The following is a 26084-nucleotide window of genomic DNA, read 5'->3' on the forward strand; positions in this document are numbered from 1 at the left end:
GTGTTCAAGACCAGCCTGGCCAACATGGTGAAACCTCAAACCCCATCTCTACAAAAATACAAAAATTAGCTGGGCATCATGGCGGGTGCCTGTAATCCCAGCTACTCGGGAGGCTGAAGTGGAAGAATAGCTTGAACCCGGGAGGCACAGGCTGCAGTGAGCCGAGATCGTGCCATTGCAATCCAGCCTGGGTGACAGAGCAAGACTTTATCTCTGGCCGGGCGCGGTGGCTCACACCTGTAATCCCAGCACTTTGGGAGGCCGAGGCAGGTGGATCACGAGGTCAGGAGATCAAGACCATCCTGGCTAGCACAGTGAAACCCCGTCTCTACTAAAAATATAAAAAAAATTAGCCGGGCGTGGTGGTGGGCGCCTGTAGTCCCAGCTACTCGAGAGGCTGAGGCAGGAGAATGGCGTGAACCCGGGAGGCGGAGCTTGCAGTGAGCTGAGATTGCGCCATTGCACTCCAGCCTGGGCGACAGAGCAAGACTCTGTCCCAAAAAAAAAAAAAAAAGACTTCATCTCAAAAAAAAAAAAAAAAAAAAACCATAACTACTAGCTATAACTATTAATCCAAGAAAACAAGATCATTGTCAGTGAAAAGACAACAGGAAAATTGACTCTATATATATATATACACATATGTAATATTTATGGCCTCAGATATCTCTAGATCAATACACAAATACTGTTATAGCAAAGTGAATCTGGAATTTTAGTAACAATAGGAAATATAAATTTATAGGTGTTACTGAAATTTAGGATTTATGGGTGAAATATGTTAATGGAAAGAAAAGCTGTTTAAAATAGGCCCCTAATAGACAGAAAACAGAAGTAATACCAGATGTTAAAAAGATACCCCTCAATATAGAAATCCACAAATATGTGGATGAAAGAAAAATTAAGAGAATTGAAAGCTAAAAATAGATACCCAGAAGGGAGCTCATGGTAACCATGTACCAAATCTCCTAATGATACAGTAGATACAAGTAAAGCTGCCTTGAGAGAGATTATGAAACAAACAAAATAGAGTACTTTTAAGAAAACCTAAATTGTCTACATCTGCTATAATGTATGCTCCAAGAGGGGAAGAAGGTCTTTGTTTTGTTTGCTAACTCTTCTCCAGTGTCTGAACAATACCAGACACATGGCAGGTTCCATGAATTAACTAATCTATACATCAGCTGATGTATCATTAGTATCATTCTGGTAACAACCAACAACAAAAAGTAAAGGCTCATACTCTTGATTATTCTTAAAATGTAGTGGAATGAAAGAAGGAAACTGCTACTTTGGCTGCTTTTAAGTCTGAGAACCACATTTCCTTCTGATTTGCCAAGTGCTTCTCAGAATTAAGAGTCCTGTCAGCCAGACAAATGAAAAAAGCCATTCCAAGCAAAGGGAAGGTTTAGCAGTGGCAAATGCCATGGCATATTTTGAGAAACAAGGGGAATACTGATTTCAGTGTGTCTAAATCATAGCACATGTATATTGGACAGAAATGGTAAAGAATGACAGATGTGGTTCCAAAGGTTGGAGCGCAGTTTGAAAAGAGGTTTGTAAGACATTTGAAATGTTTAACCATATCTCATTTAACCCAAGAAATTGCACTATCAGCTTTATGTTACAGAACAATAATCCTGGCAGCTGTATAGAGGATGATGGAAAAAGGATTAGTCACACAGCAATGTGCTGAAGTTGCCTCTTATTGGCTCTTGAGCACAGACTGTTACATTTTCAGGAATTCTGTGAGCCAGTTGACCTTTCACACAGATATCTTAAAATCTACGATGGTGAGAGTATTTACACCATGGTAATCAGCAAACACTACAAAAATCAGGGCTTTTTCTATTTTCCCACAAAGCCAATTAACCAATACACCCAAGAAATAGAACCACAGAGGCCAGTAAAGTACTATGTTAACAGCCTAAGACATAATGAAGGCCCGACTAAGACCTGAATAAGTGGCACTAAGAATGTCAAAGTGACAAATTTGACAAATATTCACACTGCACAGGATGTAGGACTTAGTGACAAGCTGAAAATGGGTGATTAGGTAGAACAAACAAGGATTCCCAAATTTCTGGATTAAGCAACTGATACAGGAAATTTAGTTTTACACTAACTTAGACCACTAGACACTGAATATACCAAGATGAACATAAACTTCTGCCTCCAAGGAATTCATAATTTACAAGGGGAACAAGCACACATTTACCTAACAACATAGTAAACACAGATAACAGAAACTACCAGAGGAAAAGATTAGGAGAGAAGAACAGAAAAAGTGAATTCATTTCATTTTTTCATATGTAAACCTTGTACTATTTGTTCATATGTAGGTTTTCATGTGTATTATAGAACTAGCACTGCTTGTTTACTATCAAAATAGAAATGTCCATACAGGTTATGGAATGGCATATCATAAAAAAATTAAGATAGAAATGTCCAGTAGGCAGTTAAAAATATAGTTTTATAATTCAGAAGACAGGTAAGGAGCATACTGAAACCACAGACAAGACCAGATGATTTAGGAAAAAAAAGTTTTAGAATGCACAAAAAGGCAGGAAAATGAGGAAGATAGGAAAGTGGGGGGTGGACAGAGAAAATGAAAGCAATCAAAGAGACTAAAGAGTGCTCAGGGAGAAAGAGAAACAAAAAAGAATGGCAAAAGCCAAAAGAAGGGATAAAGAAAGTAAGTATTAGTATTGTCATAGAGCTTACAAAGATCAAACACAACGGGATGTGGCATTTGAGGGCTGACAGCCTTTAAAGAGATGAATTATATAATGCTTCTCTTTTATAGTTTCCTCATTCCCATAGAGGGCATATCAGAAACACCTCACCAATTTTCATACTATGCATCTGTGCTCACCAAGCCTATCAATCCGATACTCTGTCATTGGCCAAATCCCCGATATAGTGAATCAAAGTTTCTGCTGGAAATGCTTAATTCCTCAGGAATGTTGGGGGTGGAGGGGCAACAGAGACCGCTTAATTCAGAACAAACTGAACTGACAAGTATCTACAGGAACCTGGAAAAGAGCACCTAGAGAATTAAGAATTTTTAAAAAGCACGGCACCCATAAACCGCATGAGGAAAGTATTTCAAGAAAGGAATCAAATGTTATTACAAGTTAAAGGACCAAAAAAGTGTCCATTTGTCGTATGTGCAAGAAAGTCATTGAAAACCTTGCAAAGTTACTTCAATGGCATAGATTGAGGGTGACTGAGTCCCCAGGAAACAGGAAGAAAAAATCCAGAGCAAAGTAGGAGGCACTATCCTTAGAACGGAGCAGAGACTCGGCCGGGCGTGGTGGCTCACGCCTGTAATCCCAGCACTCTGGGAGGCCAAGGCAGGCAGATCACGAGGTCAGGAGATCGAGACCATCCTGGCTAACACGGTGAAACCCCGTCTCTACTAAAAATACAAAAAATTAGCTAGGCATAGTGATGGGCGCTTGTAGTCCCAGCTTCTCAGGAGGCTGAGCCAGGAGAATGGCGTGAACCCCGGAGGCAGAGCTTGCAGTGAGCCGAGACTGCGCCACTGCACTCCAGCCTGGGCAACAGCGCGAGACTCCGTCTCAAAAAAAAAAAAGAAAGAAAGAAAGAAAGGAGCAGAGGCTCCACTTCCGTTGCAATTGAAAAGGCAAGGGAAAAAAGGTGCAACAGATGGTTATACGTTGAGGTTAAATTCATAGGTTTGATGGGCAAGAAATGGAGAAAGTTCACATCTGATGGATCCTCTTTTTCTCCCCAGGGAAGCTTAAAGTCATTTGTTGAGCTTGAAGCGAAAGGTTTGAAAAGGGTAAAGAAGATTTAAACAATCACTGTGGAGAATGGCAGAGAACCAAGGAGGAAAATACAGAAGGCAGAACTGAAGAGTATTTACCGTCCAAGAACTGATTACAATTCCTGAAATACATCCTACTGAAACATATATCCAATGTTCCACTGTTCACCTGGGGAAGTCCTGTCTACAGTTTAAAACGTCTCCACCTAGAAAGCCTTTTCTGACATTTCCTAACCAGTTTCCAACCCCCAGTTATCATTCTCCTCTGTATTAATGCTCTACTTTATATGCAATCCTACTGCTATCTTACATCACTATATTACAGCACCTACCTTTATAGTCTACAAGATTATTTCCTCTACTAGATGGTGAACTACTTGAGGGCAAAAATTGCACGTGTATCAGGAGCAACTGCAAATATATCAGGGTCTCTGCCTTGTATCTAAAGTTTAAATTCAGTTTAGCCAAGTTTTAGACAGAGACCCGGTCCTAGAGTTTCCAACATGAAATAGTTCAGAAAACATCATTGCTTTTGACAAAAGTACATAAATTATCATGAAAAGGCACGTAATTCAGGATGACAATAAAATATTTAACAGTCAGAGAAAATAAACAATAATTTGGAACTTTATTTCATTTATTACCCACTTCGGTCTTCAAATGTGTGCATGTGCTTCTAACTGCGATGATGAATTTAAAAAACATTCTGCACCTACTGTATGCAAGATACTGCTATTCACACTGTGGGATATTAAAAAAAGTTTGCAATACAGAAGAGATTAAAACAAGTATACAAATGATTTTAGTACAAGGTAGAATGCGATGGCCACTAGAGAAAAAATTAAGAACAGGTGAGAAGGGCTTTATTTTTATGCTTATAAATGTGAACTTTATTCTGAAGGATAAGAGATTCGGGACATGGTAACTGGATTGACACAACTGAATATGCTTTTCAAGTATATTATATCTAACTTTTCTTATTTTGGGCAACTTCTCTCCAAACTGACTAGCAATAAAATCTGACTGCTAGATTCTGTACAAATGGTTAATCCCAACCTGAACAAATGTCTCAAACCCTCCCCCACGTGTCACTGTAGATAACTGCCTCATAAAGGAGGAAAAAAAAAACCAGCCTGTAAGAGGGGTCACCTGTACAGTCCATTTGTTAAAGGAGTAAGCGTTTCCAGCTCTACTTTAAAACAAGGCCCTATTTCATTATGCGTCTGCCGTCTGTTCTAGAGCTTACACTTTTGAAGAGCTCGAACGCTACACCCCTTCGTCAAGAACTGCGGCAGCAGCCGGTGGCTGCCAACGCGGTCCACAGGGTTTGGGCTCCCGAAACTTCAGGGAAGCTGGAGGCATGGGGGGGGGGGGGGTCGAGTTGAAATGAGGAACACACAGAAACCAAGTGTCCCCAAGACTCCAGAAAAGAGGGAGCCAGTCCCAGAGTAAATAGGTTGGCTAGAACAGTACCCAAGCCAGGGGGCCGGGCGGAGGGGAGTGGTCACGTCCAGACTGGAAAACTTTCTGCAAAGCAACGGGTTGGGTCCACCTCGCTGTCCAGGTGCGGAGCAGCGCAGACCCCCAACCCCACGACCTGGTCAGACCCCGTCTCCTTACCGTCCTGCAGAAGTTCCCGGACTGTAGCTGCAGCCGCTCCAGAGCCTCGAGCTCCGAGGCCAGCTACAGCGACGCTGCCGCCGCCACCTTCCATGTTGGCAGGTGCCGGGTTGATGTCGTCAGCAGCAGAACGGCTCCGCCCAGGTGGTGACGCAGAATCCCGGCGCCGCCCGCCCACCCAGCCCATGGCTCCAGGCCCACCTGGCGAACTGACTCTCAGCCCGCGCCTGGGCTAAGCCTGGCTAGGAGCCGCGCAGGTACTCGAGCAGTGGGCGCCCAGGGTCCGAGTGCTCTGCGCCCAGCGCACCGAGGGAGCCAAGGCCGTCGGGCCGGCGCTTTCAGCTGTCTCTCGCAGCAGCTCAGGGCCGCGCCCCCTGGGCTGGCGTCGTGCCCTAGCCAAGGAGAAGGTGGGCACCGGAACGTGGCCGCAGCGCTTATCTGTGAAGCAAGTATTAAACCTCAGAACAGGGGCCGCGCGGCGTAAGGCAGGAGAGCAGAGCGGAGGTTTCAGGGAGCTTCGTTTGCCCTCCACACTCACAAGAGTCACGCGTTAGTTGCTACACAGCTTTATCTGTTCCACGCCTTGATTGGCACTCCTGGGGTAATAAAAGCCCGCAGGAAATGCTTGGGAAGAAAAGTTGCTGGGGATGAACAGTGAAGAGAATTAGGGAGAGTCGATGAAGAAGGAAGTCTGAACCATAAAAGGACCAATAAAACTCACTGTCTCTACCCTCCTTCCTTCCCATGAGACCTTTGACCTTTTGCCTTTTCTACTTCTTCCTCAGTTTCAGTCACGTGCCAGACTTTTTCTTAATTACAAACTGATAGATGGTCCACATCTCAACTAACAGTATTGACGCTGTAAGAGCATCAGGTTGGTTCCCATTGTATCTTCTTTACTAATACGTTCGCGTTTTTGACCTAGATTTCTTTCTTCTAAGATAAATACTGATAAATTAACAGGGTCAGGCAACCACAAGTATGCAAGACAGTCTTAAGCTTCTTCGCAAAAAGAAGCTGGAAGATGACTTTTTCATTTTGTACAGTAGGTATGTATCCAGGAAACCAATTTTATCCAGTTCCAGAGCTACGTGGTTTTCTACATTCTGTTTCAAAAAGGTGCTATTACTTATCCTGTGCTTATCGCTGTTCTAAGTATTTTATAACTCAATGCATTTCATACTCATAACACCTCAGGTAAGCAAGTCTTATGCTACACTGCATTATGCTCTCTTTGTCTCAGAGGATTTTCCCTAGTATGTAAGATCTTAGTCATGATGGGAATAGGGGTGATTCATTCATTACTTGTGAATTAGGAATTGTTTTTCCTTCCTTGGCTTTATTCCCCCCAGTGGAAGATTTTAGAAGAGTGAGTAATATTCATTCATACAGCGAAAGTTTTGACCCCTCTACTCTGCATGCTCTCATGAGTTTACAAACATAAGACTCAATCCATATTCTAAAAGGAGTTAATAGGTAAGGTAGGAACCCATTTAAACAAACAATTGTACCAGGTGCTTTGGAATCTTTGGATTTACTTATTCCAGTAATTCCAAGCTTAGCTGCACATTGAAATCACCTGAAGAGCTTTAATAAAAACACTGATGCCTGCATCCTGAGCCCAGACGTTTGGATTTAATTGGTCTAGGGTATGGCTTGGGCATGCTAATTCTTAAAAGCTCCTCGGGTCATTGTAGTGTACAACTAAGGTAGAAAGCTACTGATTGTTTTGTTTTGTTGAGTTGGGGTCTAGCTCTGTTACCCAGGCTGGAGTGCAGTGGCAGGATCGTGGCTCACTGCAGCCTCAACCTCCTGGGCTCAAGGGATCCTCCTGCCCAAGCTTCTGGAGTAGTTGGGATCACAGTCGCTTGCTACCACGCCCAGCTGATTTTTATAATTTTTTTAGAGATGGGGGTCTCACTATATTGCCCAAGCTGGTCTCAAACTCCTGGCCTTAAGCAAGCCTCCCACCTTGGCCTCCCAAAATGCTGAGTTTACAGGTGTGAGCCCAGTCCCCTGAAACCTACTGATTTATTCTTTCAGCAAATAAATATTGAGGCCTTCTGTATGCCATTTACTATGACTGCAGGAGTGGATAAAAATGAAGTAATTCTTGCTAAAATCACTAATGACCTTGTTGCCATTGCGCTTTATTTTTGCCTTACTTTGATGTTTAAGATACCTATCCCCTCCTTCCTTCATAATGGTCTCTCTCGTTTTCTGAGTATCACTCTTTAGGTTTATTCCTCCCAGCTCCAAAGTTCATCTTCAGTCTCTTTTGCTCTCCCCTTTTCCTCTGTTACTTAAATATTGGTGCTTCCAGCGGTTTCTTGCAAGATCCTGACATCCTTAAGTACCTTGGCTATTTTTAATTTCAACTCCTTGCCTAAAGGTTAAAGACTCTAAAGTTTGAGCAATTAGACCATTCTAAAGTTGGCCCATATCTGATTCTTTTTTTTGTTGTTGTTATTTTCTGCTTCATTTTTCCTTCATACATACCTGTTTCTAAGTTACTGAGGCCAAGGACTGGAATATGAAAAGTAGCCAACACTGTGAAATAGTAGGATTTTAAGTATAGCAAATGTAAAACATTTACAAACTCCATAATTTCATCACTCGTACCTGTACCTCTTGGGGTATAAAAGTGATTTACAATGCAATTGTAGAATTATAATTGAAATTTTCACTAGATAATATCACATTAAAATTTTTAAAAATAATTAACGTTTGTTTATCTTCTGATTCACAGACAGAACAGGATTCAAGAATTACAATAAAAGCACCAGCATATCTTTTGAAACACTGACTACTTAAGAGTTGCTCTATTAATGCCATTTAACTTTCCTGAATAAAACAAGATATTTCCAAATGCCAGTCGAGTATCATATATAAAATAATTCAAACCAAATTTCTTGGCTTACCAATCCCAACAAAGTAACATGTAAAAAATTTTTAAATAACATGAAAACTTACAACATGGTAAACTAGGGAAAAAAAAAAAATCTCGTTTTCTGCATCTTGTGTTTCCACAACTATCTTGGGTAGTTTTCCACATCTATTTATCTTACAAATAGAGGCAGCATTCTATAGTATCATATTGGATACTGTGAAAATAAGCTATTAATAAAAAAATTTCTGAGCCCACAAGCCTGATAAAAAATATATGTTGTTGGCAGTTGAAATTGTTAGAATGGAATTAATATAGTGAAAACATATTTTCTCTATACAAGCTTATTGTCTTTTTCAGATTTGAAACATATCTGTATTAATGAAGAGTGACTGCATGCAAACGACAATATGTCAGGAAAGAAAAAAAGATCCCATAGAAATGTTTCATTCTGGACAGCTGGTAAAAGTCTGTGCCCCAATGGTTCGATATTCAAAGTAAGTGTTGCAAAATGATTAATGAACTAAGATGAAATTTCCCTTTTATGCTCTGACTTTTTAAAAGTACTGTAAGACCACCCACCATATGGGAACTTCAAACTCTTAGCTTTGGAATCATGACTTAGAATTGAGTCATGATGCTACTACTTGCCTAGTATATATGTGATCCTGAGTAAACAATTAACTTCTCTGAGCTGCACTTTTTATATCTATAAAAATGGTGGTGGTTGTAACTCCTACCTATAAGTATATAATGGATATTAAATAGATATAAGTATTGATGTATAGATTTTTATGTGAACTTAAGTCTTGGGACAAATAGGAGTGCAATTATGGGTCCTAAGGTAGTTGTGTGTTCAGTTTTCGAAGAAATATTTCTTCGTATCTTTTGCTCATCTTCTAATTGGATTGTTTGCTCTTTTACTATTGAGTTTTTTTAGAAGTTTGTTATAAAATATACGTAACATAAAATTTACCTCTCGATCATTTTTAAGTATACAGTTCAGCAGTGTTAATTACATTCACATTGTTGTGCATCTGATCTCTAAAACTCTTTTCATCTTAGAAGATGGAAATTCTATCACATTAAACTGTGACTCCCCATTCCACTGTTCCTCACAGCAGCCCCTGGCAACCATTATTCTACTTTCTCCCTCTATGAACTTCACTACTCTAGGTACCTCATATAAGTCTTATACGTATTTGTTCAGAACTGGATTTATTTTGCTAATATTTTATGCAGCATAACATCCTCAAGGTTCATTCATGTTGTAGCATATATCAGACTTGTTCCTTTTTAAGGCTGAATAATATTCCATTTTATGTATATTTTGTTCATTCATCTGTTGATATCCATTCATATATTGATAGAACACAAGATAACTTCCACCTTTTGGCTACTGCAAATAATACTGTCATGAACTATGGGTGTACAAATACCCATATACAAATACCCATGGTTCGTAACAGGTCTCTGAGACCCTGCTTTCAATTCTTTTTGACTATGTACCCAGATGTAGAATTGCTGGATCATATGGTGATTCTATGTTTAATTTTTTGAGCAACTACTGTACTGCTTTCCATAGCAGCTGCACCATGTTACCTTACCACCAGCAGTGAACAAGAGTTTTAATTTCTCCACATCCTCATCAACACTTGTTATGTTCTGGGAGTTTTTATTTTATTATTATAATCATCCTAATGGGTGTGAAGTGGTATCTCATTGCAGTTTTAATTTGCATTTCCCTAATGATTAATGATGCTGAACATCTTTTTGTGTGTTTATTGGCCATTTGTATGTTGTCTTTGTAGAAGTATCTATTCAAGTGCTTTTGTCCATTTGTTTGTTTTCTTGTTTTCTATTATACTCTAGATATATATTCTGCTTTGTCAGATGTGTGATTTGCACGTATTTTCTCCCTGTATATGGCTTGTCTTTCATGCTCCTAACAGGATCTTTTGCAGAACAAAAGTTTCATTTTAATGAAGTCTAACATCAATTTTTCCTTTTGTAAATTGTGCTTTCGATGTCAAGTATAAGAAACCTTTATGTAGCTCCAGATCCTGAATATTTTCTCCTAAGTTTTTTTCCCTAAAAGTTTTATAGTTTTATGTTTTGCATTTAAGTCCATGATCAATTTTGCATTAACTTTTATGTAAGTGTGAGGCTTAGGTTAGGTTGCCTATGGATGTCCAATTACTCCAGCATCATTTTTGAAAGGCTATCAGCCAGGCACAGTGGCTCACGCCATCAAATCCTAATCCCAGCACTTTGGGAGGCCGAGGTGGGCAGATCATTTGAGGTCAGGAGTTCGAGACCAGCCTGGCCAACATGGTGAAACCCCATCTCTACTAAAAATACAAAAATTAGTCAGCGTGGTGGCGCATGCCAATAGTCCCAGCTGCTGGGAGGCTGAGGCAGGAAAATCGCTTGAACCTGGGAGGTGAAGGTTGCAGTGAGCCAAGATCGCACCACTGCACTCCAGCCTGGGCAACAAGAGTAAAACTCCGTCTCAAAAATAATAATAAAAAAAGAAAGGCTATCTCTCCGCTAATTCTTTGCTTCTTTGTGAGAAATCAGCATTTTCTGTTTTGTTCCATTGATCTTGTATCTTTTTCCCCACCAATACCACACAGTTTTACTATATAGCTCTATAATATGTCTTGAAATCAGGTAGACTGGTTCTTCCCAATTTATTTACTTTTTCAAAATTGTTTTAGCTATTCTAGTTCCCTTGCTTTACAAATAAATTTTAGAATGACCTTGTCTATCTCTGCAAAAAACCCTGCTGGAATTTTCATAAGAACTGTGTGAAACCTATACCTCAACTTGGGAAGAACTGACTTTCTTACTAGGTTGAGTCTCCCAATCCATGAACACAGTATATCTTTCCATTGATTGAGATTTTCTTTGATTTCTATCATCAGTATTGTGTAGTTTTCAGCATACAAGTTCTGCACATGTTTTGTAAGACACCCAGGTTTTGAGCATGTTTGTAAATAGAATTTTTAATTTTTGGTGTTCACATGTTTATTGCTAGCACATAGAAATAGATTTTTGTATGTTGATCTTATATCCTGAAAACTTGCTAAACTCACTTGTTGGTTCTAGTTTTTTTGTAAATTCCTTCAGAGTCTATATGAACAACCATGTCATCTACAAATAAGGACAGTTGGATTTCTTCCTTTTGATCATATGCCTTTTGTTTCTTTATCATGCCTTATTGCACTGACTAGAAGTTTCAGCGCCGTGTTGAATAAGGGTGATAAGAGCAGACTTCCTTACCTTGTTCCTAAGGCAAAAGTGTTCTGTAGGAATTTTGTGGATATACTTTATCAAACTGAGGCAGGTTCCCTCTACTTCTGGTTTTCCAAGAGTTAGCTTTTTTTTTTTTTAACTATGTATGAGTGTATTTTGTCAAATGCCTTTTCTGCATCTATATGATCATGTGATTTTTATTATTTAGCCTGTTAATATGATGGATTACATTAATTGATTTTGACTATTGCACCTTCTGTTTTAACCGGCTTTTTCTGACAACACTCCAGCAGGGAATGATGTAGGGGAGTGGTGCCACCTCATTGCTATCTGATAGAAATCCAAGTTCTCCACTTGGCCTCCTTCGACATCTGGTGGGTGAGGAGCTCCTCATTACTGCGGGGCAGTGATGAGAGTTCCAGTTCCCCATAGTGAGGGTAGCCTCATATGTGCTGGGCAATAATGAAAGTCCTGGCTCTCCACTATGCCTCCTCTGACACCACACCAAGCAGGGAGGGAGAAGAGTGCTTCATTACTGCTGGCAGGCATGGAAGTCCAGGCTCCCCTTGTGGCCTCCACTGATACCACTGGGCTGGGAGTGACCTCAGTGGCCACCAGAGATGAAAGTTTCAGATCCTTACCTGGCCTTGGTATCAATAGAATGTTGGAGCACCTTGTTACAGCCTTTGGAGGGTAGAAGTCTAGGATTCCCACTTGGCCTTTGCTAATGGAGATAAAGCCATAGCTTTTTCTACAGTATTTGGCTGGAGTAGAACTGTCTAAAAGTTTTCTGTCTTACTAGGTCAGACAGAACATTTTCCTGGTCCTTTGGTTAGAGAAGGCTTTTGTTGGGGCTGGTTTTGTCTGCATCCATTGTTGTTTCCAGGTGGCCAGCTTCTTCAAGTCTAGGATATTTGAGACAAAAATAAAACCCAGAGAACTCACCACCCTGTCATTCCTCAGGTCCTGAGGTCACTAGCCTATCTGGACATCTTTTCTTCACCTTTCAAAATTTTCTTGTGTTTGTTTTATATATAATATCCAAGGTTTTTAGTAATACTTAACAGGAATAATAGGGAAAAGTAAATCTCCTCCATCTCCCCATAGGTAGAACTTTCTCTGATAAATATTTAACAATGCACTAAAATATGTTTGTGGTGTTTCTAAATGCATAATTAAGGTTTTATATGCTCACAGGTTGGCTTTTAGGACACTAGTAAGAAAATATAGTTGTGATCTGTGTTACACACCAATGATTGTTGCCGCTGATTTTGTCAAATCTATAAAAGCCAGAGACAGCGAATTTACCACAAATCAAGGTATGTGAAACCGAGTGTACTGACTTTGTAAAACTTTTTAAATTTGTTTACAAACTCAACTATCTTATCAGAAACAACACAATTTAGAGATTTTATGTGAAGAAGCTTTAGTTCTTTAGTGTTTTTAATAAGTATTTTTTACATGTTATTACTGAATGCCTTGCAAACTATCAGTGTATATACCAAAGTGTAAGGTCACTTTGAAACCCTCTCCTCTCACTAGGGCTACTAGAGTAGATTCCTGTCACACTGCCTCTAGTCTTGTACCATTCCAAACTATCCTCCAAGGAGACCAAAGTGACCTATTGAACATGTAAATTTTTCTCTCATTGTTCTCAAAGTGTGATCCCCAGACCAGCAGCATCAGTATTATCTGGAAACTTGTTAGAAATGGAGATTTACAGGTGTACTAAATCAGAAATTCCACATATGTGGTCCAGCAATCTGTGTTTTAAAAGCTCTCCAGGTAATTCTGAGCTTGTTAAAGGTTGAGAACTACTGGCTTAAAGACTAAAATTTCAGCACCTAAAGATAATACACAGTTTTTCATAATCTGACCTCTGAATACATCTTCTGCAGCCTTATCTTCCTTCAGTTTCTCCCCACACCCCACTGACTTTATCCTTCAAAATTCCTAAGTTATTTTAAGTCCTTGAACATACACTGTCTTCTCACACCAGACCCCCTCTCTCTCTTGCAAACTGTAGTTTATGTTTCGTCATTCAGCTCTCAATATTTGTAGCCATGAATCTTTTTTTTTTTTTTTGATCATCCTCTACTCATGTCCTCCCTGCTAAGCACAGGCTCTTATGTTGCACTTAATCACTTAATTCTACTGCATTATGATTTCCTCTTTATATGCCTGTTTCTCCCATTAGGTTCGGCCTCCTTGAGGGCTGTAGCTTTAGAAATAGCTTGATTTGTATCCTCAGCATCTAGTACAGTGTTGGAAATATATTAGACCAATAAATGGTTGTTAAATTGAAATTCTGTAACTCTCTTGAGTTACAAAAGGGAAAGCACCTTACATCTCCATAAAGAATAAAGCAAATTCTCCTAAACCATCATAATCCTGTAAATCAGTAGATTGCCATAGGAATCTTGAATCAGTGCAACTAGGATGATGCCCACAAATCTGCATTTTCATAAACACCCAGTGAATCTCATACAAGTATTCCTCAAAAGAAATGTTGAAATACATCTAAACAGAGTTTATAACACTGACCCAAGGATACGAAAAATATGTTCTTTAAAACCTAGGAAGCTTTAATACATTCGGCTGTATTAAAATTAAAACTTTGGGCCAGAGGCGGTGGCTCATGCCTGTAATCTTAGCGCTTTGGGAGGCCAAGGTGGGTGGATCACCTGAGGTCAGGAGTTTGAGACCAGCCTGACCAACATGGTGAAACCCTATCTCTACTAAAAATGCAAAAATTGGCTGGCCATGGTGGCAGGTGCCTGTAATCCTAGCTACTTGGGAGACTGAGCCGGAGAATCACTTGAACCTGGGACGCAGAGGTTGCAGTGAGCTGAGATTGTGCCACTGCACTCCAGCCTGGGTGACAGACTCTGTCTCAAAAAAAAAAAAAAATTAAACATTTATATGTAAGAGCACAAATATACTCAAAGACAAAAAACTGAGGAGAATATTTATAACACATGATAGATAGCAATACTAATTTCTTTGTTTTATTAAAAAAATTACAAATAAAAAGAACAACTAATGGAAAAATTATATACAGAAAAATGCAAAGAATATGAAGAGAGCTCACAAATTAGAATATTCAAATGTTGGATATACACTGTATGATAAGTTGTGAGGAAACAAGAACTTTTATCCATATTGGTATATGTCTATATTGGTAAACTCTTGAAAGATAATTCTGTAATATCTATCACAGTGTTGTATGTTAAATGCCTATTAACAATTCTCCTAAGAATTTACCCTATGAATATACTCAGAGCATGTGAAACAGTCTAAAAATACACTATATGGTCCATCCGTACAGCGGAATATCCCACTATAAAGAAGAAAATAGGTCTGAGTACATCTCCCAGATACATGAGGAAAGAAAGGAACACTAGGCACAGTGGTATATATAGATTGTTCACACTTGTTTAAATTTTACAGGTATACAAAAAAATTGTTCTGGAATGCAGTAAACTAATTCTCACCTTTGAGAAGAGGGTCTATTTTGTCAAAAGTATTAGAATTGTTTTCATTTATCAAATTTTGTACTGTTTGAATTTTTTACCGTGTAAATTGCTTTTAATTTTAAATATTTTAAATTGTTTAATGTTATATTATTTGGACAGATGCTTCTTAGGCTAAAAAATCGTTATTGCTATTTTATCCTGTACAAACATTAAAGTTTGGTGTGTGTGTGCATGGGGTTTTTTCCTGTGAATTTTAATGTTGAGCTATTCATTTTGTCAGGTGATTGCCCATTGATTGTTCAGTTTGCTGCTAACGATGCAAGACTTTTATCTGATGCTGCTCGTATAGTCTGTCCTTATGCGAATGGAATAGACATTAACTGTGGTTGCCCTCAGAGGTAAAGCTCAAAGAAGTTGGAAGAATTTTCCAAAAGAGTAGAAAAAAAACTGTGTGAACATGGTAAAATATCTTTCTAGTTTTCCAAAAATTAAAAAGAAAATAGAGTTACAGTCCCAGGGCTCAAAACAAGAAGGAAGAAAATATAGGGAAATGTAATTTAGAAACATAAATTCAAAGGTCTTTTCTGATGACTGAAATGATGTATAGACCTTTGACAGGTGTTTTGTCTCCCCTCACCAATAGAATTTTTATGTGGCTGTGCCTTGAATCTCATCCCTAAGTAGTTATATGAGAATCTAATGTTTACGGCAATCCCTAAAATGTATTTTTACTGTCATGTCAGATATACTTGCTCTGAAAACAGATTGTTTGACTTAGGAAATCACCACATATTTCCTCCTAATTAATTCCCCTTATAAAAATACCTTATTATAATCACTTTTTCTTTCTATACCACAGTTACTTGTTTGGGTTTAAATAACTGGGTGTTGATAGGGTGTACTTAATTTGACAATAATATTTCTTTTTTTTTTTTTTTTTTTGAGACAAGAGTTTCCCGGGTTGGAGTGCAGTGGTGTGGTCTCGGCTCACCACAACTACCGCCTCCCAGGTTCAAGCGATTCTCCTGCCTCAGCCTCCTGAGTAGCTGGGATTACAGCCATGCACCACCACGCCAGGCTAATTTTGTATTTTTAGTAGAGACGGGGTTTCTCTATGTTGGTCAGGCTGGTTGCAAACTCCCAACCTCAGGTGATCCGCCCGCCTTGGCCTCCCAAAGTGCTGGGATTACAGGCCTGAGCCACCGCGCCCAGCCTGACAATAATAGTTCTACTTTACTGGCACTGTAGTAGATTATCAGTAATTCAAAATGTGTCCAAAGAATAAAAGCAAAGTTGTTAAGTATAGCGTAATCGAAATCAGATTAGACATATTTGTATACTCATTAGGAGGGTTAAATTAGCTGTTTAGTGGTATTGGAATGCTGTAAGCCAAAAATATCTTTCTACTATTGAGACTAATAAAACCTCTTGTTATGCACAATAAACATCAAATTTGGAATTTTTAAAATCTGAAGTCATTGCAATTACTTCAAATATTTAAACCTGTTTTGGTTGAATGACTTTTAACTTAATATTCTCACTTGCCAATGAAAACCATTTCTCCTGAGTACTTTTTGATCTGGGAACATGTTTTCCTAATCTCATATTGATCCACTTAGAAATGTTGAATCTATGAATTTTTTATATCTGCTTCTCTTCCAGATCACTAGAGAAATGGATGCACTTACATTTCAGTGCTTTCAGAATTTTGTCTTCTCTTCCAGTTATTTATAATTCACTTGTTCATGTGTTTGCTTTACAAAGGTGGGCAATGGCAGAAGGTTATGGGGCTTGCTTAATAAACAAGCCAGAGCTTGTTCAAGACATGGTGAAACAAGTAAGAAATCAAGTGGAAACCCCTGGATTTTCAGTTTCTATTAAAATAAGGTAAAGACAATATTTCAATCTATTGATAGGATAATCCATTACTTAGGAAATGAAAGATTATTGCTTTTGTCTGATGCTGTTGGGAGTATCTATCCTAAATAAATTGGTAGCTGGTGTATGGAAATGTTGAAAATAAGACATTTAGTAAAAGAATATATACCATAATTTTCATTTATAGTCCTGAAAAACTTCCTCTTTGTACTTTTAACAAAAGTTAAAGCCTCCCTTTAAGTTTCACCAAACTTTCAACTTTAGCTATGTAGTATTTAATGTTAAGAAACATTACTGGTGCCAAGTGTAGAAAATAGGAAAAATATTTGCACTAAAATTTCACAATGAAAAGAAAATAAACCAGGAATCAGTTTTTCCGTGACAGGTTGAAAACATATTTCTTTTTTTGAGACAGAGTCTCACTCTGTTGCCCAGGCTGGAGTGCAGTGGCACAATCTTGGCTCACTGCAACCCCTGCCTCCCAGGTTCAAGCAATTCTCATGCCTCAGCCTCTCAAGTAGTTGGGATTACAGGTGTGTGTCACCACACCTCGCTAATTTTTGTATTTTTTAGTAGAAACGAGGTTTCGCCACGTTGGCCAGGCCAGTCCTGAGCTCCTGGCCTCAAGTGATCCACCTGCCTCAGCCTCTCAATGTGCTGGGATTACAGGAGTGAGCCACGGTGCCCAGCCTGAAAACATATTTCAAGATAAAGTATTATATTCTCCCACTGGGGGATGGGGGCATGCACAGCAAATATTAAGGTTTAAATTCATCTGTGACAGTACTTTCATGGGTCTTTCATTTATCAAAGCCAAAACATAGAAGCACTAGGTCTAAGATAAAACTTGTTTTTTGTCCTTTGTTGTCAATAGTGAAATAGCTAAATTTGAGGTCTTGTGTAGGAACTGCTCCCTGAAGAAAACCTTGCTGATAATGACATAGAGTAATAATATGATATAGCAAAGCTAACTAATTTGGTAGATGAAATACCATTTTAGTCAGTTAATGTTAGCATTAAGATTTGTGTGCTGTGAACAGATAAATGTAATTTTGAAATTGTAGGATCCATGATGACCTTAAAAGAACTGTAGATCTTTGTCAAAAGGCTGAAGCAACAGGAGTTTCATGGATTACAGTCCATGGAAGAACTGCTGAAGAAAGACATCAGCCAGTGCACTATGATTCCATTAAAATAATTAAGGAAAATATGTCTATACCTGTAATTGCTAATGGAGACATCAGAAGCTTAAAGGAAGCAGAAAATGTGTGGCGGATTACTGGGACAGATGGTAAGAAATAAGTACTTGGGTTCTTTTAATTGGGGGGGGAAGAAATGAGAGTGGGGAAGTAATGTTAATTTGATTTTCATTTGTTTTGTTTAACATTAAGCCATATTTTCCCATTGTACTGTTTTAAGCTAAGCGATTTATTAAAATGATGTTAAGTTTTCTACCTAGAAAAACATGGATTATCTTAACTGGGATAAATTAATTCAGTTACTTTTCTGACACCATCATATCTAGTGACCAGTGAAGAATTTTCCAGATAGCCTACTAGTAAAATAAAGCACCTAGAAATAAGAGTAAGTGAACTCGAGAATGATAAGAGCTAAAGGAATCCCAGAACTGCTATGCAGTTTCATTATTCCCTTAAATTATTGGCATGCCAAGCCCTATAATTGCTAGATGGGAGAATATAGATAAACTGAACTTTAAGCAGCCCAATTTATGACAATCCAGATTTACCCTAAAGAAAAACTAAAGACTAATGGTTTAATGTAGAAATCTTTAAAAAATAAAGATTTCTGTACGTACATTTAAACTTTCCTGGTTTACAAAAGGTACCAAAATTAATTCTTTTGTAATCGGATTAAACATATTAATGCAATAAAGACATTACAAAACCTTGTGATAATACTTTTTAAAAATATACTGTTTGCTTCATTGAGCTTGAACTAATAACCAGGGGTTCTTAATGTATGGACAAATATGGTGTGCTTTAATTTGTAGGTGTGATGGTTGCAAGAGGACTCTTAGCAAACCCGGCCATGTTTGCTGGATATGAGGAAACCCCACTGAAATGCATCTGGGACTGGGTTGACATTGCTCTTGAACTCGGGACTCCTTACATGTGTTTCCATCAACATTTAATGTACATGATGGAAAAGATAACTTCAAGGCAGGAAAAAAGGGTATTTAATGCTCTGTCAAGCACATCAGCAATCATAGATTACCTTACAGACCATTATGGCATTTGACTAGACTTCCCAAATAATTTTAATATATACTTTTAGACCCACAGTGAAACCACAGAAGGTCATATTTTGTACCTTAAACCAGTAGCTCTCAAATTTTAGTATAAAAACAATTCCTGGGAGCGTTTTTTAAAAATCAGTTGTAGACACCACCCTCAGAGATTCTGATTAGGTAGATCTGGAGTAGACCCAGAAATACACAGTTTAAAGAAAACTCCCAGTGGTTCAAACATCCTGATCATCCTAGGCAAACATTGACAAATACTGCTCTGAATCCTGTTCTATAGATATTGGGGGGATGGGTAGAGTGGGAATTTTTTCCTAATCATGTTTTTAACATTTTAAAATAAAATTTAATACTAAGAAATTATGGCTTATAGTATCTATAAATTAACAAGAAGTATGCAGGTGCAAAAAAGTGGTGGAACAAATACCAACATCCATCCAAAATGAAAAAGAACAGGAAATTCTGAATAGAATTGCACTCAGAACTTATATTAAAAATTCCATTTGGTTAATGACATTAAATTTGGTACATTTCAAAACTTCTAGGTCCTCCAAAGATTGAAAGCTTAATAATCTCCTACCTAAAAAGATAAAATTAATTGCAATCTACCATATCTTAAGTATAGGAAATTTGGTGTCCAACCTGGAGATGATTATATATTTGAAATATTTCCTAGAGAATAGTAACCAGGTTTTGTTTTTAACTTTAAAACCTAATTACTTTTGTGCCTCTCAGCCGTTGATTGTAACTTTAAAGTCCCATGGTTTTGGAGTGTTATTAATAGATTTTGTTATCGGTGGGCATGCACTGCAAGAATTAAGTATCTCAGACTGAAATAAAACCGTTCATAATTAAAGTATTATTTTGTTTTGCCAACATGAAAACTGTTATAAGGAAACAATTATGTAAAACTGTTTAATTCACGTTTGGGAATATTGAATGAATCCATTTTAACATAAGCACTGTGGTGCCATCTTTTTTCTCAGTACATTCTGTTTTCACTTTTCAGTTAATGCATTTTTTTTTTTAAAGATAACTCGCTGTTTCATTTTCTATGAATACTGTACAAAATAGGGAGGTATGGTCAGAACTCTGAATTGAATTACCCTAGTGTTGTGAGCACAGCATCATCACTAGAGTAATGTGCTCGGTGTTTGGAAGGAACCAGCGTGGATGGGCAAGAAGTTCTAACACTTTTGATTAAAAGTAACTTCCTGGCCGGGCGCGGTGGCTCACGCCTGTGATCCCAGCACTTTGGGAGGCCAAGACGGGCAGATCACGAGGTCAGGAGATCAAGACCATCCTGGATAACACGGTGAAACCCCGTCTCTACTAAAAATACAAAAATTAGCTGGGCGTGGTGGCGGGCGCCTATAGTCCCAGCTACTCAGGAGGCTGAGGCAGGAGAATGGTGTGAACCTGGGAGGTGGAGCTTGCAGTGAGCTGAGATTGCGCCACTGCACTCCTGCCTGGGCAACAGAGCAAGACTCTGTCTCAAAAAAAAAAAAAAAAAAGTAACTTCCTGGCTAGGCGCGGTGGCTCACACCTGTAATCCCAACAGTTTGGGAGGCCAAGGCAGGCAGATCACTTGAGTCCAGGAGTTCGAGACCAGCCTGGCCAACATGGTGAAACCCTGTCTCTGCTAAAAATACAACAATTAGCTAGGCATGGTGGCAGGCGCCTGTAATCCCAGCCACTCTGGAGACTGGGGCCAGAGAATCACTTGAACCTGGGAGGCAGAGGCTACAGTGAGCCGAGATCGCACCACCACAATCCAGCCTGGGCGACATTGGGAGACTCCATCTCAAAAAAAAAAAAAAAATCTTCCTTATGGTTAATTTATGTTCAAAGTCTATTTTTCTATTTTTTCTGTTACATGTGATCCAGAATATTAGTGATAAATTAAGAAAAAGCACCAACTTAAATGTGTTTTTGAATGTTTTATATTCTATAATTATCAATTTTCAACATTTATTTACTATTCCCCAAATAATTGTTACCAGGATAGTACTTTTATTAAATTCCTGATACGTTGTCAATATTGAAAAAACTCAACAACTTAAATGTACACGCACAGTTTGAAAAGCTGGAAAATAGTGAAAGAATATCCCCATACCCACCTTTCGTACCAGTCCCCAAACATCACGGTAAAGTTTACTGTCTCTTCCCAGCCCATGGACGGGAACGGGAACGCCTACGGAATATGTTGTGACATACAGTTGATCCTAGGTTCTCCAGAACAAAATGCTGCACGACCACCTCATCCTGGCCCTTTATTAAATATAGCTTAATTCTGGACACAAACAGTTCCCACCATGAAGAGAGAGTAGGTGACCGGAAAGGAGTGCGTCTTAAGCGCGTTCGCTGAATTTGCACCACCCAATCCAGCCCCGCCGCCCGGCGCCGCTCCTTAGACCTGGACCCCGGCACCCTCCCGCCGGGGCCGCACTTAGCAGTGGAAAGTCTGTCCTCCTGAAGAAGTTGCGCTCCGACCTCCAAGCATCAGGTCAAAAGTCTAACTCATTCTCTGACCTGCCGCCAATTAGAAAACAACTGTTGCCAATAAACGTGGTCGCGCCGCCTGTGACCTCAGCCGGGACGGACCCGCGGGCGGGAGCCTGCGGGGCGTGAGGCGGGGTGGGGCCCTGGCTCCCCTCCCCCGCCCAGCCGCGGCGTCTGACGTCCCGCGCGTCGGCGGCCGCGGAGCAGCGCAGGGAGCCAGGCGGGCTGCCGGCGGGTAAGGGCTTCTGCGACCCGGGGACCCGTGGGGCGTAGGCCGCGGAGGGAGAGCGCCGCTGCCTGGTCTGGAGAACCCCGCGGAGCTGGCCTGGCCCGACCCGGCCCGGCCCGGTCCGCGGCGCGGTGGTCGAGGGCCCGCGGCGCCTTCTGGGAGCGGGAGGGCCGGGAAGCCGGGCGTTGGTGGAGGGAGGCGTTGGGCTTCTGTCGCCGCGAAGCTGGCGGAAAAGGCAGTGGCCAGCGAGCCGCCTCGCCAGTTCCCACGACTCCCAGGGAGGTGGCGACACCCGCTTCCCGGGCCACCCTTTTCCCCTTCCTGACCGGGGTCCGTGCTTGCCTTCCCAGGTGGGGGAAGGTGGAACACTGTCCATCCCCTGGACAAAAACGCTGCGCCTCGGGGCCTTGAACCCGGTTTTGTTTGAAAGGAAGCAAGAGAAAATAAGTGTTTTTCCATTTAGGTGTGAAGAAAAAAATGACACTCCAATGGGCTGCAGTGGCAACCTTTCTTTATGCCGAAATAGGACTCATTTTAATCTTCTGCCTACCTTTTATTCCTCCTCAGAGGTAGGAAACCTTCAAATCGTTAACTAATAAATATTGGATCGCTCTTAATGTAAAATGGAAAAAGTTTTCTGAACATTAAAAAGTTTCGAAAGTCTTTGAAAATAAACTCACCTAACGAATTAGGTAGTATATAATGACAATATTAAAATAACATTTTATATAAAACTCTGTTACGTGTACAAGTGAAATAACTTTTTCTTCCCTTCTAAAAGAAAAGGCGCCTATACTTTTGATTCTGTTGATTACAGATATAATAAAGCAACGATTATACTTTTAACACCTGCCCTGCCTTGTCTCAGGTTTTACCTTTGTTTTATTGCCCTGAATTGGAGCCATGAACTAAATAAATATAAGTGGATAAATCATGTTTACAGTACAGCATGGGTGTAAAAGTGTTTCACTGAGGCACTGGAACAGCAATTTAGAAACCAAAGCCAATAAATTATTCTTAGTTTTCGCCTTTGTAACCGTTAGTTTCATTAATGACAATTTTACTACTTTTGATTTCACATAAAATTAATGAATGTATATTAAAAGTGCTGAATGTGAAAAGTATCACAACCATGTATTAGCATTAGTTCGTTAGTGACGGAACTTCTAAGGTCTTGAAGAACCAAGTACAGTGTTTCAAGCCAAGCAGTGGTTCATTTTACCCTTGCAGTAATCTACTTTTTAGTCGTTTAATTTTAGATCCAGAAATTTGATAGTATGAATGGGGAAATACACATGTAATAAAAATATTGCAAGATATTTGTTCATACTCCTGGCATAAAAGAAAGTATTTCATAAGTGAGATCCTAGAGATAACCCACTAAAGTGTATTAAAATCCCAGGACTGGGAGAAACTTCTTAAAGTTTCACCTTAGCTCAGGGTCCAGATAGTCTTTCACAACTCCTAACTTGCTCCTTACCTGCCTGGATTTCTGCTCTCTTCTGTCCTTCTCTATCAGCTAAGCTAAGCTCAGTAAGTTGTTTCTTACTAAAGAAAAAAAATTGAATCATACTGTAGGGTCTTTGATCTTATTTGATCCATTCCACCCATGTTCTATATATCACGTACTGAGACCCAGGAGGGCAAGTAGCCTACGGTTACCTAGCTGGTAAGTGACAGATTCTAGAAAAAAATCTGGCTCTTAGTCCAGTGTTCTTTCTACTCCATCATGCTGCCTCTCATCCTGTAGGTTTTGTTTCAAACTCAGTAACACCCTGTTTTGCTTTTTGGTAATATTTGCAATGATAGAATCCTATATACTCAAGAGAAAGAAAGATTTTGTATATAAACATCTAATTTATAGATAAGGCTTAAGGGTTTGCAAAGAAGGAAAAATTGTCAGTTGATCTTTACTCCATCAGAGTGATCTGTAACTTATGGATCAATATTTTTCTTCCTGCCAAATAAAAATTTTACCCATCCTGATCAAGTAGCTATTAGATAGATGTGTGTATATTTGCATATGATATATAAATGTGTTCTCATGTACAGATATAAAGAAAATACGGTATGTATGCACGCAGATCATTTACAATATGTCCTATGTGTGTATCCACATCTTTTTATCTTTTATATTTGTATCACCATAATCTTTAAAGAAAATATTTCATCATTTAGTCTCTATTATTTTCTTACATAACCCAGTGGTTAAAGGCACATGCTCAGAAATCAGGTCACCTATAACTGCATGTTACTAACCTTGGGCATGCTCTTGATCCTCTCTGATCTGTTTCCCCATCTGTAAAATGGAGGTAGTACTAGTGTCTACCCCTTACGGTAGTTGTTGTAATTAAATGAGATAAAACATGTAAAAGTACTTAGAACCATAATATAGTGAGAACACAATAGGTATTAGCTATGATAAGGTGCTCAACTGCTAGTTGTTCCCTATGAGAGATCTCTTACATTCCCTTTTACACCACACCAAACCTTGAAGAAATAAGTAAATTTACATTTGGACCTAGATCAAGGTATTACCACTTATGTTCTCTTAAAAATATAAAATTTTATATTGCATAATTTAAATATTGGCTGTATAAAATGCTTGGACTTGGAAGCAGAGACAAAATGAACCGATTCATCTGTATGAATCTCCCTCAACCCACCAATTTCAAGTAGTTACTTGAAGTTGTCCTAATCTTAAATCTTAAATGTGTCCTAATCTTAAAGTGAAACTGTTTTTTTCAAGTTGTAAGTGCTTGAAGCTATTTAAGTGCTTACTACATTTTTCTGCCTCCTTTCAACTAAAGTGTTACTCATTTAAATTGCCCTTGTACAAAGTTTGTTACCTTTCCTATTGCGTGATGGATTATTTTGCCACTTTGCCATTTATAACCCATGCTTTCTTACCACTGTCTTTGTTTATACTGTTCAATCCACCTAGACTATTTCCCCATCTCATTTCCTCTATGTTCACATCTTTATCTGTAGTAATTACATGGTTTTATATATATATATATAGTGTGTGTGTGAAAATTATCAAGCTACATATTTAAGATTTTTTCAATTTATGTGTATAATACCTGGGTAGTTTTTATAATTCCCTCATGGTTAAAGTAGAGAAACTTTTAGTTGGAGTATACGTTAAAATTGTACTATATAAAAATCAGTATGCAGAGTTAGACCCCACTCCTGAAATGTTGCCAATTGTTAGAACAATATATCTTTATTTCTAAGTCATTTCTCTGACCATGAAAAAGATACAGAGTAGTAGCTTCTATCAACAATATAATATTTTACTACTGCAAGAATTCCTTTTTAAGGTTTTGCTCATGTATGGTTTACTTTTAGAATATTTAAGCCACCAGACAGAGGATAATCAAATATCAGGTTATTATTAAATTTGAAAGAGTTGTTTTTTAATTCATGAGATATTCTGTCATGTCAGAATTAATAAATTTTAAAATTAAATTTCTGTAATTTTCACTTGCTACACAATTACTAAAATGTTACTTCAGTATTTAAAAAGTATTTCAAAACTTTATTTTAGTTTTTTTATACCTAATATAATTGTATTGCTTTACAGATGGCAGAAGATTTTTTCATTTAATGTCTGGGGTAAAATTGCAACTTTTTGGAACAAGGCTTTCCTTACCATTATCATCCTATTGATTGTTCTATTTCTAGGTAAGTACTAGATCCCTTCTTTGAATAAATATAACTTTTTTTAAATGAATTTCTTTTTAATTAATAGAGTTGATGTTACAATTGGTGTACAGTTGACTTTATATAGTATATTGATAGTACATAGAGTGGATACTGATCTATTGATACACAGTTGATAGATACTACCATTCTGTATGTTCAAGCTTAAGTTTCAACAGGGCACAATGATTCTTAACCCCTTCTAGGTTATTTTAAGATTTAAATGCTGTATATTAATGCATACCTTGCTGTTCAGAGTTACCAGACTTTATTTTTCATGGTGTTGTCTCTCCTTTGTTACTGTGATGTCCTAGGCACCCAGGAGCTTAGCTGTTAGAAAGGCAAATAAAAGAATAGAATCATTAGGCTCTCCAAAGGAGTCTTAGATGCAGGGTGTGCATTTGGACTGGATTAAAAAATAAACATGGCCGGGCGAGGTGGCTCAGGCCTGTAATCCTAGCACTTTGGGAGGC

General features: G+C 38.8%; 4 protein-coding genes across 46 annotated transcripts in view, besides 6 other annotated features; 3 read left to right on the plus strand and 1 right to left on the minus strand.

Annotated features, from left to right (window-relative positions):
- Positions 1 to 5531, minus strand: part of COG5 (component of oligomeric golgi complex 5) — a 362549-nt gene extending 357018 nt beyond the window's left edge. For all 10 annotated transcript variants that reach the window (NM_001379516.1, NM_001379515.1, NM_001379511.1 and 7 more), the window contains exon 1: positions 5414 to 5531. In NM_001379516.1, coding sequence (NP_001366445.1) covers positions 5414 to 5507 — 94 coding nt within the window. In that variant the 5' untranslated portion in view covers positions 5508 to 5531. The remainder of the gene's footprint in view (positions 1 to 5413) is intronic.
- Positions 5410 to 5620: a silencer, noted in NCBI's record as "fragment chr7:107204244-107204454 (GRCh37/hg19 assembly coordinates)". NCBI's record gives its function as "represses an EF-1alpha promoter that drives an FKBP-Casp9 reporter gene in an ReSE screen in HepG2 liver carcinoma cells {active_cell/tissue: HepG2}" and the evidence as "EXISTENCE:reporter gene assay evidence [ECO:0000049][PMID:32094911]".
- Positions 5459 to 5578: an enhancer, noted in NCBI's record as "active region_26492". NCBI's record gives its function as "activates an Ori minimal core promoter by ATAC-STARR-seq in GM12878 lymphoblastoid cells {active_cell/tissue: GM12878}" and the evidence as "EXISTENCE:reporter gene assay evidence [ECO:0000049][PMID:35858748]".
- Positions 5582 to 20134, plus strand: DUS4L (dihydrouridine synthase 4 like). Of its 6 annotated transcripts, none has more exons than NR_073002.2 (8): positions 5582 to 5858; positions 6199 to 6287; positions 8661 to 8797; positions 12756 to 12877; positions 15315 to 15494; positions 16799 to 16921; positions 17977 to 18203; positions 18924 to 20134. NR_073002.2 is itself a non-coding variant. In NM_181581.3 (8 exons), the coding sequence occupies exons 3-8, from the start codon at positions 8682 to 8684 to the stop codon at positions 19169 to 19171; spliced, it is 954 nt and encodes a 317-aa protein (NP_853559.1). In that variant the 5' UTR covers positions 5582 to 5820; positions 6199 to 6287; positions 8661 to 8681; the 3' UTR covers positions 19172 to 20134. The 6 variants fall into 6 exon arrangements, 2 of the variants coding, with proteins under 2 accessions (NP_853559.1, NP_001257348.1); NM_181581.3 differs by having other exon boundaries at positions 5582 to 5820; positions 15315 to 15432; NM_001270419.2 differs by having other exon boundaries at positions 5582 to 5670; positions 15315 to 15432.
- DUS4L-BCAP29 (DUS4L-BCAP29 readthrough) overlaps positions 5582 to 26084 on the plus strand; it is a 59347-nt gene continuing 38844 nt past the window's right edge. For 2 of the 7 annotated variants that reach the window (NM_001371364.2, NM_001371366.2), the window contains exons 1-9: positions 5582 to 5820; positions 6199 to 6287; positions 8661 to 8797; positions 12756 to 12877; positions 15315 to 15432; positions 16799 to 16921; positions 17977 to 18203; positions 22370 to 22475; positions 25493 to 25593. In NM_001371364.2, coding sequence (NP_001358293.1) covers positions 8682 to 8797; positions 12756 to 12877; positions 15315 to 15432; positions 16799 to 16921; positions 17977 to 18203; positions 22370 to 22475; positions 25493 to 25593 — 913 coding nt within the window. In that variant the 5' untranslated portion in view covers positions 5582 to 5820; positions 6199 to 6287; positions 8661 to 8681. Of the gene's footprint in view, positions 5859 to 6198; positions 6288 to 8660; positions 8798 to 12755; positions 12878 to 15314; positions 15495 to 16798; positions 16922 to 17976; positions 18204 to 22369; positions 22476 to 25492; positions 25594 to 26084 lie in introns of all 7 variants that reach the window. The other 5 variants (NR_163939.2, NM_001371365.2, NR_163940.2 and 2 more) reach the window with 5 other exon arrangements.
- Positions 5659 to 5758: a silencer, noted in NCBI's record as "silent region_18539". NCBI's record gives its function as "represses an Ori minimal core promoter by ATAC-STARR-seq in GM12878 lymphoblastoid cells {active_cell/tissue: GM12878}" and the evidence as "EXISTENCE:reporter gene assay evidence [ECO:0000049][PMID:35858748]".
- Positions 6109 to 7308: an enhancer, noted in NCBI's record as "P300/CBP strongly-dependent group 1 enhancer chr7:107204943-107206142 (GRCh37/hg19 assembly coordinates)". NCBI's record gives its function as "activates an origin of replication core promoter dependent on BRD2, BRD4, P300/CBP, MED14 and CDK7 cofactors, with strong dependence on P300/CBP, by STARR-seq in HCT116 cells {active_cell/tissue: HCT116}" and the evidence as "EXISTENCE:reporter gene assay evidence [ECO:0000049][PMID:35650434]".
- Positions 21618 to 26084, plus strand: part of BCAP29 (B cell receptor associated protein 29) — a 43311-nt gene continuing 38844 nt past the window's right edge. For 14 of the 23 annotated variants that reach the window (NR_163926.1, NR_163927.1, NR_163935.1 and 11 more), the window contains exons 1-3: positions 21857 to 21912; positions 22370 to 22475; positions 25493 to 25593. Coding sequence is in view for 9 of the 23 variants with exons in the window: in NM_001363482.1 (NP_001350411.1) it covers positions 22384 to 22475; positions 25493 to 25593 (193 nt within the window). In the remaining 14 variants the exon portion in view is untranslated. Of the gene's footprint in view, positions 21682 to 21856; positions 22026 to 22369; positions 22476 to 25492; positions 25594 to 26084 lie in introns of those variants that run through there. The other 9 variants (NR_163928.1, NR_163937.1, NR_027830.2 and 6 more) reach the window with 4 other exon arrangements.
- Positions 21715 to 22204: a silencer, noted in NCBI's record as "silent region_18540". NCBI's record gives its function as "represses an Ori minimal core promoter by ATAC-STARR-seq in GM12878 lymphoblastoid cells {active_cell/tissue: GM12878}" and the evidence as "EXISTENCE:reporter gene assay evidence [ECO:0000049][PMID:35858748]".
- Positions 22295 to 22364: an enhancer, noted in NCBI's record as "active region_26493". NCBI's record gives its function as "activates an Ori minimal core promoter by ATAC-STARR-seq in GM12878 lymphoblastoid cells {active_cell/tissue: GM12878}" and the evidence as "EXISTENCE:reporter gene assay evidence [ECO:0000049][PMID:35858748]".

The sequence above is a fragment of the Homo sapiens genome, chromosome 7 (assembly GCF_000001405.40).
Source record: "Homo sapiens chromosome 7, GRCh38.p14 Primary Assembly".
NCBI lineage: Eukaryota > Metazoa > Chordata > Mammalia > Primates > Hominidae > Homo > Homo sapiens.